The sequence below is a fragment of the Homo sapiens genome, chromosome 1 (genome assembly GCF_000001405.40).
Source record: "Homo sapiens chromosome 1, GRCh38.p14 Primary Assembly".
Taxonomy (NCBI): domain Eukaryota; kingdom Metazoa; phylum Chordata; class Mammalia; order Primates; family Hominidae; genus Homo; species Homo sapiens.
In genome coordinates, this window is record NC_000001.11 from 222,613,127 (window position 1) to 222,627,483 (window position 14,357).

Sequence of the window (14,357 nt, forward strand, 5' to 3'; positions counted from 1 at the left end):
ATCTCAGGCATTGGTTTTTTTCACCTAAGTTTGAATTCGATTGTTTTTATATCTTGTTTCTCTTTTATATACATATGCTTTCCTATAGCATTTTGAACATATGGACTATAACTGTGTTCATACCCTTGTGTAATAATTCCATCACTAGTGTCATTTTTGATCATTTCTATTGATCGATTTCTCTTCATTATGAGTTGCATTTTCTTACTTCTTTGCATACCTTATAATTTTTCACTGCATTCCAGACATCATGAATTTACCTTGTTGAGTGTTAGATATTTTTGTATTCTTTTAAATATGCTAGAAGTTTATTCTGGAATGCAGTTAATTTACTTGGAAGCATTTTGATCTTTTCAAGGCTTGCTTTTCAGTTTTGCTAGGCAGGACCAGGGTAGCCTCTAATCTTGGGCTAATTTTTCCCTCTTACTGAATATTATACTTGATGCCCTGTTTATTACAGATTTTTCTACTCTGGCTGGTGATAATACAAACTGTTCTGCACTCTAACAATTGTCTCTTCCATTCCTCCCTGGTGTTCTTTTCCTGGCATCAGCTAGCTCCTCACACACATATGCTTATTGTTACTCAGCTGAAGACTTGAAGGAAATCCTCTGTAGATCTCTGGAGTTCTCTCTGTACAATTTTCTCTTCTCCGTGTAGCATTTTTTTTTCCTCTCTTGGACTTTGCCCTGTGAACTCTAGCTACATTGGCTTCCTCAAACTCTCAAATCTGTCTCTTTAACTCAAGAAGATTTCCTATTTGAGTTTCCCTTCCCTAGCTGTGTCCTGGAAACTCTCCAGGCAGTAAGCAAGGGCAATCATAGCACTCATCTCATCTGTCAAGTTTATCTTAGGGATTACTGTTCTATATTGCTTATTGTCCAATGTCTGACAGTATTTCCTATATTTTGTCCAGATTTTTAGATGTTTAATGTGAAAGGGTAAATCCTGTCCCTGTTACTCCATCTTGGATGGAAGCTATAGTCCTCAATAAATGTTTGACTCCATTCTCTAAACACTGAGTGATTTTATCATTGGCAATAGATTCTATCATTGGCAATAGATTTTATCATTGGCAATAGATTCTAGGTTCTTACTGGTAACTTCAGTGTTAGACCTTCTGGATGTTCATGGCTAGGCACCATGGCAAGTTTACAATGATATATGTTATTGCGATGTCTCCTATTTGTTTCAGTTATCTCTTGTTTTCTCATTTAGACTGCAAATTCCCTGAGGTCAGAAACCCTCCAATGTTACATTTCTATGTATCTTCCACCCAAAACTAGGCAAATTTATTTTTAACTCTTACTTAATCTTTACCCATTTGAAAATTCCATTTGAAGTGTTACCAAATAATACATGTAGGATTAGAGTTTATGTTAAACATCAATGCCACATATTCAAACGCTATGAGTGAAAATGAATTCTGATTCATCCCCTAATTTTATATATGCTAGGAGGAAGAACCACCACCCCTACCTTCACTATGGTCAGCTGAGAACTGTCTTCTAATTATCCACCAGGCTTGTCAATATCTTTTTAAGAAAATGATTTTTTCAAAAATGTAAATAAATCAAAACCCTATAAAATCTACACACTTAAGTAGCTAGTTCTTCAGTAACAGAGAGCTCTGACCTTTCATGTAAAAGCTTTTGTAAATATTAGTCAAAGTGAATATTATTCACTTTGTAAAGTAATAATATTCGATTAGATCATGTTGGAGTTTTGTTTTTTTCATCAATTAATTGTTATTAATTCTAATCTAAGGAGAAATAAGATAAAATCATGTTTTAAATCTGCTTTAATATTCTGGTAGTATATTGGGAAAAAATACATGCTATTTCATCCACTCCCTCTGCAACAAATACACCCTCATTCAACAGTAAATACATTTCAGGTTCTGTCCTTGGCGGTAAGGATGCTACTGAGGGGAAGACACCAAATGCCTTGTTTTCATGGTATATTCCCTTTTGGTACTATTCATTTTATGGAGGCTTTATTTAGGTTAATAGCATAATATATTTATAATGTGTGAAGATCTGTGGGTTTATTCAACAAATCATTTGTTGAGTACCTTATATATTCCAGACATTGTTCTAGGCACTGATATTACAGCAGTGAACAAAACAGACAAATCCGCTGCTTCCATGGAGCTTATATTGGAGGTTGGGTGGCAGTAAAGTAGATAAACATAAGGCAGGTGGTAAACGCTCTAAAGAAAAATAAAGCACAGTGATGAGCCAGCTAGTCATGAGAAGGAGTTCTGTTTTACGTAGGGGTATCAGGGAAGGCCTCACTTGTAAGATATGGCACTGTTACAGAGACACGATGAAGTGAGGAAACTAGTTAGCCAGGCAGACTATTTGGGGAATTATTCCAGGCTGACGGAAAATTGCAAGTGCAGATACACGAATGCAGGATTAGGCTTGGTGTATCTGAGTGGAACCAACAGAGCAAGGGAGGAGTGTTAGGAAATGAGGGTAAAAGGGCAGAGGAGTAAAATTAAATAAGACAGTGTACTCCATAAAAAAGTAATTGCATTTTACTTGGAAATGGGAAGCCATGGGAAGGTTATGAGCAGGGGAGAGGCATGACCACATTTATTTCATAAAACAATTGCTTTAGCTACTATTGAGACTATGACTTTGGAAGGGCAAGAGCAGAAGCAAGAACATGACAAGGCTATTGCAGTTATTCAGGTGAGAGATGGGTGGCCTGGCCTGCACTGCTGGCACTGGAGATGGGGAGAAGTGGTCAGATTCTGAATGTATTTCAAATGTTTATGCTGAGTGAAAGAGTCAGACAAAAAAAGAATGTATACGATATTATTCCATTTATATCAAATTCTAGAAAATGCAAACCAATCTGCAGTGACAGAAGGTTGTCTGAAGACAGCTGGGACAAGGGAGGGAGGGATTATAAAGGATCATGAGAACTCTTTCAGAGGTGATGTTGATGAATATGTTAATTAACTTCATTGTGGTAATGGTCTCATGGGTGTAGACATATGTCAAAAATTATCATTGTACACTTTAAACATGTGCAATTTATTGTAGGTTAATTATACTTCAACAAAGCTATTAAAAAAGACATGGGATTGTCTGATGGATTGGACTTGGGTGTGAGAAAAAAGAGGTCGAGGATGGTTTGTATGTTTTTGGCTTAAGCACCTAGAAGATAGGAATTAAATTGTCATTCCTATTCCTCAAATAGGGAAGACCGAAAGGAGCAGAGTTTGAGAGAAAAAGATAAAGAGTTTGGTTTTCAACATATTGTTAGAGATGCCTATTAGACACATCTAAGATATTAAAACAAATAAATACACAGTAGAAAAGAAATGAAGAATGAACAGAACTACTACTTGGATAGAAAGTGCTTGTCCGTGACCTTACCAAATGTATATTTCTCAAGACAGCATTGGAATTACATTGGCCCAGTAGGAACTCTCACGGCTCCTACAGACAAAAATTTGTGAGCATCTGTTTACCGTTTTTTCCTTATTCGATATAATGGATTGCACAGACAAGCCACATTCTTTCTTCTTGCTTTTAAGTAATACGATTTGTTTGGGAAACCAGCTGCTGGGTTTGTTGTTCAAGGTTGATGAGTAACCTTAGAGATTGCAATGAGAAGCTGCTGGTCACAGACAGATGCCAAGTTCTTCAACCAGGGCTGGAGAGCATTGTAGCCACTCTTCTGGAGAGCATTGTAGCCACTCTTCTCTGGGCTGACCTGCTCATGCAGTCCCCCGCTTTTTTAACTGCACATATAAATCATCCAGTTATAGTATGATTTAAATAAGATTTTGCTTCCCTGCTCAGAAAGAAAGTACAAAAATTGCTTGTTGCTTGATGGAGGCTTTACAGAGCTGTGATTAAAAAGGAGCATACTACCTGGGTTTGAATCTTAGCTCCATCACTCACTAGGTGTTTGAATGCCTTAAGGTAGTCATCTCTGAAATGGGGATCATAATAGGACCTACTACTCTAAGGTGCGATTGTTGTGAAGATTAATCTTAATTCTGGCATGAAATAAGTATAAAATGGAAGCTCATCACACTGTTATTAAATTAATTTACTTTTTTCCTATGGATATAGATCTAGGAATCTCAAGATCTCAGCCCAAGGACCATTACCCATTTCTATCAACGACCAAGCAGGCCACGGGCTCTGATTTATATCCTCAGCCCCCTATTCCACTCACCTCCCCCTTTCTTAATCAAAGAGCACCACGGGATGGTGCCCCCAAGGAAGCCCTGGGAGGCTGAAAAGGAGGGAGCCTGAAACCAGAGACTAACAGTGGCAAATCGCGGGTGGGATTTGGCAGTTCAGAAAAGGAGGTACCATGCCAAGAGTGGGGGTAGCGGGGTGAAGTAGCGGGGTGAAGTGGGGGGCTGGTTCGGGACAGGCCACAAACCAGAAACTGCGAGAAGGCGCCAGAAGGGACCTGTTGAGATGGCGCAGGGTTGGGGGACCCAAGCGCGCGGGGAGGGGTGAACTAAGAATGGAGTCACGCGGAGGTGCTGCGAGGGACTGGGGCAAAGGCAGGTGATTGGGCGAGGGAGTCCTGGTTGCCACGGCAGCGACCAGAGGAGAAGGCTTCGAGGAGAGGAGGAGGCTGCTGTCAGTCCTCCTCCTGGAGGTCTCCCGCATCCCTCCTAGAGCCTCTGCTGACGTGTCAGTCGGAAACTGCTCAGACCTTCGCGGGCGCCGCCCCTCTGCGCTTGTCTTCCCACATGCCCCCGGCGCTCCGCCTGGTCCCTGCCCGCGTCCCTGCCCCCGTCCCTGCCCCCGTCCCTGCCCCCGTCCCCGCCCCGTCCCCGCCCCCGCCCCCGCCCCCGTCCCCGCCCCCGTCCCCGCCCCGTCCCCGCCCCAGCCCCCGCCCCAGCCCCCCCGTCCCCGCCCCGTCCCCGCCCCCGTCCCGCCCCTCTGCGCCCGCCCCGGCCTCCTCCTCCGCGTCACCGGCTCCCCGAGGTGACCACAACATGGCTGCGGCGCCTGGGCTGCTCGTCTGGCTGCTCGTGCTCCGGCTGCCCTGGCGGGTGCCGGGCCAGCTGGACCCCAGCACTGGCCGGCGGTTCTCGGAGCACAAACTCTGCGCGGACGACGAATGCAGCAGTGAGTGCGCTGGAGGGGCGGCTGGCCTCGGGGCGGCTGGCCTTGGGGTCTCCGCCGGCCCCGGGGGTCTCCGCGGCGGCGCCGCCTGGGCTGTGCGGGGACGGGAGTTCCGCAGCCCCTGGCCGGCCCGGGGGTCGCAGGCGGGATGGGCTGAACGCGGGGGTGGGCGCGCTCCGGGTCCCTGTGTCTGCCTTCTCCCGCTCTGCCTGCGCCCGGCCCCTCGGGCCTGACCATGGGGGCTGCACCTCCCACTTGTTGCCAGCGTTTTATTTTTCCTCTGCTGAGGCGGGGGGTTGCTTGCGGTGGTCCCCGGCTTCCCCAATAGTGGCTCACAGCGTCCCCTTCCCACCCCCCCAATCCGCCTGGGCTCGGAGGGTAGATGTGGTTGCGCGCCGCGCGTCTGGGCTCCCCACGCCGCAACCAAAGCTTTCCTGCCCGCGCTGCGGGGACCTCGGTGGGTGCATCACCCCGGCAGATGCGCTAAGGGCTCGGTGGGCGTTTTCCCAGTGGCAGGTTGATGGTGGGGTTTGTTTGGAAAGGCTCCCTGGCGCTGCTCCTTTGCCCTTCTGCTTTATTGGGATTTGGGCTTGTACCGCCTTTTGAACAGGAATTGGGAGTTTAGGTTTGGGACGAGTCTGGAGTCCAAGCACTCATTGTATTCCGAGGTCTCTGCCCCGACTTTGATCAATCCTGTCGTTTCTGTGCTTGGAAGCCGCCTTGCAGACTGCTAGGCAGGACTGCAGGAAGACCAAAATCTTTCGCTCTGCAGAGACCGAGGATCTGCACCGGCCACCTGGGACCGGCAGCCTCCTCTTCTGTGCGCAGGAAGCGGAATTGCTCTCCAGTCTGGGATTGGAGGTGGGCGGTGGAGAGGGCACAGATCTTCAGGCTCAGATGAAGAAGGTTATTACAGGAATGACAGTAAATACTCCAAGGGTCTCATAAGCCAAGCTTGGTTTAGCCTTAGCCGCTTGCGTGTTGAAACCTCTTCCCTCTATGTTCGCCGGACCAGGATCATTTTAGGGCCTCCCAGACCGTCTCAACCTTGTAACTTACTGATAGCCACTGCAGAAACGGTTTTTCATACACTGTTAAGCAATGCCTATAGAAACGTATTCATTTTAAGAAGGCCAAGAACTCTATGGTTTAGCTATTTATATTCAAATTGATGTTATCAAAACCGAATTTCATAATATGAACTGTTTGTATCTCTACAACACTAATCAAGAAAAGAGATCTCTAATGAGTGTGAAGCCATTCCTAGAGATAACCCTGTGGTTGATGTAAATAAACACTACAAAAGCGGTACAACTGCCATGATTTTTCCCTTTAGTTTTCTTGGGTCAAAGCCACGCTGTTACCCATTTGCCGTTGGCAATGGCAAGATAGTTGGTATTCTTTGCTTGCAAGCATTGCCCTGCCTGGGTTCCTCAAAACAGGTTACCTGGAGAATCATCACATCACTGATGCTTCTTCAGTACTGAGGCATGATGTTAGAAGAGCTCACGGTTGTAACATAACTTGAGAAATGGTACGTGTTCAGAGGAAACCAAATACAATAGGCATCAACAGGAGCAAGGTCTAGATGGGTCTGTGTTGTGTTGTAGAAAGTGTTTAGTAATGTGAGTATGTACGGTGCCCTTGTGTGGTTTTCAAATAGCTGTTCCACAGGGTGCATTTTGTTGGCATCTCAAATATTATTATAAATCCTCTATGATCTATTGTAAGGGGGAGCAAAAGAAACATTGCCATTTTCAATTCTGATCTTATTCCCAACCTTAAATTGTCCATCATCTTAAACCTGGCCTCACACTCAATTATATCTGAGCTACAAAGCTGACATGTTGGAAAGTAATCAGAGTTTAGCTTCAAAAAACAAGTAGCCCCTTCCAAATCTATATGCGTGTATAGCCATTTAAAGGCACGTTTTTAATGTATTTTATTGCAAATTGGCTTTTGGAAAAAATCTTATTTCTATTCGTCCTTCTTTGTCTCTGCTATTTAGATGTATTTATTGTCCATTTCATCTTACATGGGAAACTGTGTATGTGGTCAACAAAAATAAAAGTACTGCTTCAGCCAGTTTCTAGATCAAGCGTGATTGAATTACTGACCTATTCTCATAGTTTTGCTTAGTCCCAGCCAAATGAGATGTCGACTTTTGATTTTGTTTATAGAAAAATATACATAAGGGTATTCTTTCCTTTGTTTTGAAACTTAATTTTGGATACAGTCAACATTATTTACTTTCAGAAAATATTGCCTTGTGATGTAATTGAATCTATAGTAGGGTGTGATAGATATCTTTTCCCATTAATTTATCCAGACACTGTACTAAGGGAACAACTTGGCTGCAAATGAAATTGACAGTGTTTACTGCTACATAGTACTGGTTACAGTCACTTGAAGATAGACCCTTTTAGTGGTTAGTTCAAGTTAATTGACCTCTTGGGGGTTCCTGGGTACTCTAGTTCCCTATTACCCGTTCATGTAGCCATGCTTAAGTTAATCATCATCTGGGCTTGAATTTACCCATTTGCAAAAGGAAGCTTTTTATGAATATGAAACAGAAAAGATTGAGGACTAGAAGGTTAGAGAGGGAATCGAGAGTTTCACTTGGGTGAGAAAAGCCATGTGTGGTAGTTGGCACATTGCTTTTTGTTTCTCAGTATTATCCATAGAGAAAAATAGAGAAGGTTTTCCTTTCCCTTGTCTGCTTGCAGAAGGTATGATTTATAGCAGTAAAGCTCAAAGGATTTGAGATACTTTGAGCATATGAAAGAAATTCCAGAGAGTACTGGAAAAACTTGGTTGTTGTTTATAGTGGGATTCTTATATTTCCTGATAAATCAATATGCACTGTGAACACTGAATCCTGATATCTGGCTATTTTTTTTCTCTCTCTTTATATACAGTGTTAATGTACCGCGGTGAGGCTCTTGAAGATTTCACAGGCCCGGATTGTCGTTTTGTGAATTTTAAAAAAGGTGATCCTGTATATGTTTACTATAAACTGGCAAGAGGATGGCCTGAAGTTTGGGCTGGAAGTGTAAGTAAAATATCGACATACTTTATTTGCTTAATTTTTATTGGCTTCTTTAGCACTGTAGAGTTAAATGACTGCATTTTCTTGGGACCTTTGATGGAGTTAACTTGTCCTCTCTGCCTGACTGTGAAAAAAGATGGCCCTGTGTCCCCAGCAGGCCTTGGGTCTGCACAGAGTAGGGGCTCAGCAGAGCCTTCTGAAATAGAACTGATTCTGGCAAGTTCCCCTCAGGGTCAACCTCTAGGATGCTGCATACGTATTAGAGGTTGAAATGGTAAGAGCTGAAAAATACTTCATTGCTTTAAAAAGGAAGTATTCATAGGAATTAGACTTACTCCTGTAAACTATATGTGAGAGAGTGTTTCAGGCATGTAAGCTTAAAGTTGATTTTATGTGTATTTCTTTGTTTATATTATTATTTATGAAAAAGTGGCAGTCTTGGGAACAGTTCCCTAATCATCTGTGCTATTATAAGTCTGTAAAAAAGCAAAATGTTGTTTCTCGTGTGCTTTCTTGTTTGTTTGTTTTTTTTTTTTTGAGGCGGAGTCTTGCTCTGTCGCCCAGGCTGGAGTGCCGTGGCGCGATCTCGGCTCACTGCAAGCTCCGCCTCCCGGGTTCACGCCATTCTCCTGCCTCAGCCTCCCGAGTAGCTGGGGCTGCAGGTGCCTGCCACCACACGGCTAATTTTTTGTATTTTTTTAGTAGAGACGGGGTTTCACTGTGTTAGCTAGGTCTCGATCTCCTGACCTTGTGATCCACCCACCTTGACCTCCCAAAGTGCTGGGATTACAGGCGTGAGCCACCGCAACCAGCCTCTTGTTTGTATTTTTGTTTGCAGCCTTGGGGTCATCCTTGTCCTGCTTTTCAGACACTTGTGTCTGGAGGTTACCCCAGGGGATTGATTCCCAGCTGATTTTATGGGTACCCTGCTATCAGACCTGGCAATCAATGACTGCATCATGCTTTGGTATTTTTAATGAGGAGATTCACTGGGAGTGACCTGATTGAGAGGCCTGTCTTATGAGTTATTGTCCTTTCCTTTTTAGAAAGCGTGATATGTGGACTGTGTCTTTACTTCAAGTAGTAAGGGTCCTCGATATCTTTAGGATTGTCCCAACTTAGAGAAATACCCATCCCGACTATGAAAGTTTTCACTGTCAGTAAAACACCAAACAAACAAAGAGAAAATAAGGCTTGAGAAATCCCCTTGGGGAAAATAGACTGATTTTGTTGGCATTCCAGGTTCCTAGGGAGTAATCTTGGGAAACAACAACTGGTCAGGTTCAGCTCTCCTATTTAGAGAGCATCCCAAGTGACTTGCTCCATACCAAAACAAATCTATTCTATTTCCTTCAAGTCTACCTAATGAGATTTGTTGATAATCTTTACTCTTGGAAATGTTTTTCCATGTACCTAGGCTGCGTTTTTTCATAGAAAAGTTAAGTTTTTTTTTCCACTCCTCATCTTTGAGCATTTGGATGAATGAACTTGACTTAACATTTTCCTCCCACTGCAGTTTTGCTCATTCACGTCTTCATCTCTGGATGTCCTGTCAGTCTTTCTGGGTCACACCTCTCATCCTGCCTTCTTAAGGAACGCTGCCTTCAGCACCCAGCCAGAAGGGATCTTTGCTGCCTGATGATTGTTTAGGTGGCACTTTGTTTGCACTGTTCATGTGGCATTTGCTTTACTGCTTTGTATGGCAGTTAATTTGTGTACTGTCTTAGCTCACGTAAAGTGAAAGACTCTTTAATGGAAAGGCTCATGCCTTATCTGTCTTCTTTTTCAGTATTTCCTGACGAGGCAGTGGCATTTATTTATATTTGTCCTGATATTATCTTATGCAGAATTTGTTCTCTTAAGGCGATACTCTACTTTCCCTCCTACCCCCCGCCCAAATGAAATCAACAGTACCTTGGCAGAAATGATGTATGAAAGCAAAATTAGACATAAAGATTTTTTCTTGTCATGTGAGCCTATGTTTTTTTTTTTGTTTTTTTTTTGGTCAAATCATAAGAAATGAGATGCCACCTGTGGTCCCAACTGACAAAGATTAAGGAAGGTAAATGTATTGTATTTCCCTTTCCCTATATACCTCTACCTCTGATTTGTTTCCTTTTTCCAGGTTCTCCCTTAAAATAGTCTCCCCTCTAATTTGATGAACCTTATTCTTAGGAAATTAAAAACTCTGTCTTCAGCTTTCAAAATGATTCTCATTTGTTTCTTAGTTTTCATTCTGCAGTCTTTTTTGGTTTCTTAGCATTTTAGACTTGATCTGCCAATAACACAGAGTTTAATTGCCCTTATCTAATCTCCATGGCAGTATTTTACTACTAATACTGGCTTTCAGATAGTTTTCAGATCAAGAGCACTCATGAATGGAGATGTTTTATGAATTAGTGATAAGATGGCCTTTTTTTCTTTTTGTGCATTTGATTTACATGCCAGCCTCCTCCTTTAATGATTGGGAGATCTACCTCTCCTTTCAGACAGTAGCTAGTAAAAGACTGTGTGTTTCTCAAGAGGGCACATTTTACTAGTGCTGAAAATGAATGGAATTATTTTCTGTAGAGATTTTGGTTTGCATGAAATGAAAGCTTGGTGGGCAGATTAGTGTGTATTACACTGTAATTTTGTTTTGTCTCCAGTTACCTGTAATATCGTTTTGGAAAATGGCAGTATAGCACATCATATGTGCAAATACAGTTCATCCTTGGGCAACACAGGTTTGAACTGTGTGGGTCCACTTATAATGCAGATTTCTTTCAATAAATATATTGTAAAATTTTGTGGAGGTTTGCATTAATTTGTTAAAAACTCTCAGACCGCATAGCCTAGAAATACTGAAAAAATTAAGAAAAAGGTATGTTATTGACATGTAAACCATATGTAGATCCTAGTGTATTTTATTCTTTACTACCATAAAACATACACAAATCTGTATAAAAAGTTACAGTTTATCAAAACGTACACACACAAACTCAGATCTTACATGGCACCTTTTGCAGTCGAGAGAAATATAAACAAACGTAAAGATAAAATATTAAATCATAATTGCATAAATTAATTGTGCTACCTACTGTACTATAATAGTTCGTAGCCACCTCCTCTTGCTATTCTAGTGAGCTCAAGTATTGTGAGTATCCACTTAAAATGCCATGCGACGCTAATCATTTCCACGTGAGCAGTTCATCTCTCCAGTAAATTGTACAGTGAGTAAAAAGTGATCTCTTGTGGTTCTCATGTATTTTTTGTGTTTAGTGCAATACTGTAAACCTTGAATAACACTCTGGGACCCATACAAAGTGTCACTAGTGATGTTGGAAGTGGTCTCAAATAGCGGAGAAAAGTAATGACATTACAAGAAAAAGTTGATTGCTTGATATGTGCTGTAGATTGAGGTTTGCAGCTCTATCGTTCATATTTCTCATACAGAATTTGATTGATATGTGTCCCTTTTGCCCATTCTTTTGTGTAGGTTGGACGCACTTTTGGATATTTTCCAAAAGATTTAATCCAGGTAGTTCATGAATATACCAAAGAAGAGCTACAAGTTCCAACAGATGTAAGTTGTGGATTTCTGTCTTGTTCTCAGTTATAAGTTGGCTTATAAGTGACTACCTAGAAAAAAAGAAAAATTTCAAAAGAATTTAAATGAGATTTTATCATAATCTGATAGTTATCTAATATATGGAAATAGATGTTCTTATATAAGGCTATGTACTCTTTTTTTTTTTTGAGTCGGAGTCTCGCTCTGTCACCCAGGCTGGAGTGGAGTGGCGTGATCTCGGCTCACTGCACGCTCTGCTTCCTGGGTTCACGCCATTCTCCTGCCTCAGCCTCCCAAGTAGCTGGGACTATAGGCGCCCACCACCACGCCTGGCTAATTTTTTGTATTTTTAGTAGAGATGGGGTTTCATTGTGTTAGGATGGTCTCGATCTCCTGACCTCATGATCCGCCCGCCTCAGCCTCCCAAAGTGCTGGGATTACATGCGTGAGCCACTGCGCCCGGCCAAGGCCGTGTACTCTTATACAAGGCTTTTCTTTGCTGCTTTATATGTGAAAAATTAAGAGTTCAGTAGTTTTATATTTACTTATTAATGTTAGAAGGCAAAAAATTTCATTTCACAAGCAAAAGGAGAAATTTGAAAACTACTTATTGGATAGCTGTTAGACATTTTAAGGATATAGAAATCAGGTTAAATTAATTAAGCTCTAATTTTATACTGAGCCAGAAATGCAAACTTACAAAGGTTTTCTTATTATTGACTCTGTAGTGATTTAAGCGATTATAGTTATAGATTTGGAAAAGGGAACCAGAGAGTTTCAGGTGAGGTCCAGTCTCATATCTGTAAGGCGCTAACTACACATTCTGTAGAGCATTTATCTATAGTGCACAATGGCTTCGTGACTAGAAGGATTTTGTGTTCTAGAATCTGCATTCCATCTGATTATTATTTTTTTGAGACAGAGTCTCTCTCTGCCGCCCAGGCTGGAGTGCAGTGGTGCGATACCAGCTCACTGCAGCCTCCGCCTCCCAGGTTCAAGCAATTCTCCTGCCTCAGCCTCTGGAGTAGCTGGGATTACAGGCGCCTGCCACCACACCCAGCCAATTTTTTTGTGTTTTTAGTAGGAACGAGGTTTCACCGTGTTGGCCAGGCTGGTCTCAAACTCCTGACCTCAAGTGATCCATCTGCCTTGGCCTTCCAAAGTGCTAGGATTACAGGCTGCCTTTCATATATATATATAAAAAACACCATGCCCAGCCCCCCATCTGATTGTTTTGTGAGTTTTAGAATTTATAGTAATTGATGTCTGCTTTCATTCAAAAGTCTTTGAGTAGCTCTTTGGAGTTGCTGCAGAGCGTGCAAGCTGCTGGGCTAGGGCAGTTCTTAGAAGAGATTGGCAGAGTGAAGTCACAGAGCTATTGCTATGCTTAAAATTTCTCGACGCTCTCAGGGGTTATATAGTCAATCGTATTGCCTGTTTGGCTTCACTCCTGATGAAGAGACTGCCCGGGATTTGAGTGTGAGACAGCAATTCATTGGTCACAGAGACCTGACCTGTATACTAATTGTAGTTCCCACTGCATGATTCCCTTAATATTAAAAAAATTGGCTCAGAAGTGTGCATGATGGAAAGAGGGAAGTCATTCATCTCCAGTACACAGGACAGTTCTCACCAGAAGATTGTGAATGTTTAGTTAGGGGAAGAAAGTTATCTTTGTTGGTTTTTTAACTTTTCCATCATTTTATGGCTCCTTGTATGTCAATTTGCTTACTGGTGGAGGAAGGGAAAAATACAGATTTACTTGACAGTCCTGAAAGCAGATCTTAGTGACTGGCTAGAATCCTTATTTGGAGTTAGGTACCTACCTTACTGAATCTTGTTTTCAAGTTGTTCTTGTGGCAGTATGAAAATGGGGAGCCTCCTTTACACCATTCTTTGTTCTCTTACATTTTTATATCTCATGCACCTGTATCTCAGTAAGTTCCTTCTGAAGCTGATTTCTTTCCCAGTCCAAGGAAAATATGAGCCCCAAATCCATGTAGACTGAGAGCCTGACAGCCAGGTGATTCTGCCTGTTTCTGACTGGGTGAGCAGAGAAGTATGACATAGAGGGCACAATGTAGAGAAGCTGATGGTCTTTCAGCTCCTCCTGGATGGGTTATAAGGTGAATTCCCAGAACATCAGGCATAGATGATGGGAGTTGGGGAACCCAATAAATGACACCTTACTTTTCCCCACCTGTGCTCAAAACAAAATTGAGAGACCCAGGAGTTGGGCAAATAGGAGATCAAAATGACCCCATTATTTACTGATAAAGCTGTTTGGAGTATGCAGAAATAATGGGCTTTCTAACATTGCGGTCTAAACTAAGATGGACTTATCCAGTCACAGACAGAGCTATCCAATAGGGGTCTCCCCAGGTGGGACTGTCCCTGTAAAACGGACAGCATGGAGGAACAGAATATGTGTTTCCTCTCCAGCAGGTCCCAAACAGAAAACAGGATTGGGACTGAGCAAACTCACCAGCCACATGAATCATTCTTCCCCTGGGGAAGAGAGAATGAAGGGAAGCCAGGAGTATTACTCAGATGGGAAAGTGGGTTCCAGCCTCCTATCCACCCACTGCCCAAGAACAGTCAGTGCCCAGTGTTGACGCAAAAGCTCCTCTAGAGCCAAACGTGA

General features: G+C 42.5%; 1 protein-coding gene across 7 annotated transcripts in view, besides 6 other annotated features; it reads left to right on the top strand.

The window, feature by feature from the left end:
- Positions 3,381-3,963: a transcriptional cis regulatory region, noted in NCBI's record as "H1 fragment used in the reporter construct". NCBI's record gives its function as "negatively affects activity of a beta-globin enhancer-driven SV40 promoter in transfected K562 erythroleukemia cells {active_cell/tissue: K562}" and the evidence as "EXISTENCE:reporter gene assay evidence [ECO:0000049][PMID:30886051]".
- Positions 4,769-4,838: a silencer, noted in NCBI's record as "silent region_1833". NCBI's record gives its function as "represses an Ori minimal core promoter by ATAC-STARR-seq in GM12878 lymphoblastoid cells {active_cell/tissue: GM12878}" and the evidence as "EXISTENCE:reporter gene assay evidence [ECO:0000049][PMID:35858748]".
- Positions 4,769-5,671: a biological region, named in NCBI's record as "H3K27ac-H3K4me1 hESC enhancer GRCh37_chr1:222791257-222792139".
- Positions 4,789-5,671: an enhancer, noted in NCBI's record as "H3K27ac-H3K4me1 hESC enhancer chr1:222791257-222792139 (GRCh37/hg19 assembly coordinates)". NCBI's record gives its function as "activates a minimal SCP1, AML or CMV promoter by ChIP-STARR-seq in naive H9 embryonic stem cells {active_cell/tissue: H9 hESC(naive)}" and the evidence as "EXISTENCE:reporter gene assay evidence [ECO:0000049][PMID:30033119]".
- Positions 4,971-14,357, top strand: part of MIA3 (MIA SH3 domain ER export factor 3) — a 49,911-nt gene continuing 40,524 nt past the window's right edge. For 5 of the 7 annotated variants that reach the window (NM_001324062.2, NM_198551.4, XM_006711304.5 and 2 more), the window contains exons 1-3: positions 4,971-5,117; positions 8,033-8,166; positions 11,642-11,728. In NM_001324062.2, coding sequence (NP_001310991.1) covers positions 4,985-5,117; positions 8,033-8,166; positions 11,642-11,728 — 354 coding nt within the window. In that variant the 5' untranslated portion in view covers positions 4,971-4,984. Of the gene's footprint in view, positions 5,118-8,032; positions 8,167-10,180; positions 10,226-11,641; positions 11,729-14,357 lie in introns of those variants that run through there. The other 2 variants (NM_001324064.2, XM_017001243.3) reach the window with 2 other exon arrangements.
- Positions 5,009-5,268: a silencer, noted in NCBI's record as "silent region_1834". NCBI's record gives its function as "represses an Ori minimal core promoter by ATAC-STARR-seq in GM12878 lymphoblastoid cells {active_cell/tissue: GM12878}" and the evidence as "EXISTENCE:reporter gene assay evidence [ECO:0000049][PMID:35858748]".
- Positions 5,952-6,011: an enhancer, noted in NCBI's record as "active region_2577". NCBI's record gives its function as "activates an Ori minimal core promoter by ATAC-STARR-seq in GM12878 lymphoblastoid cells {active_cell/tissue: GM12878}" and the evidence as "EXISTENCE:reporter gene assay evidence [ECO:0000049][PMID:35858748]".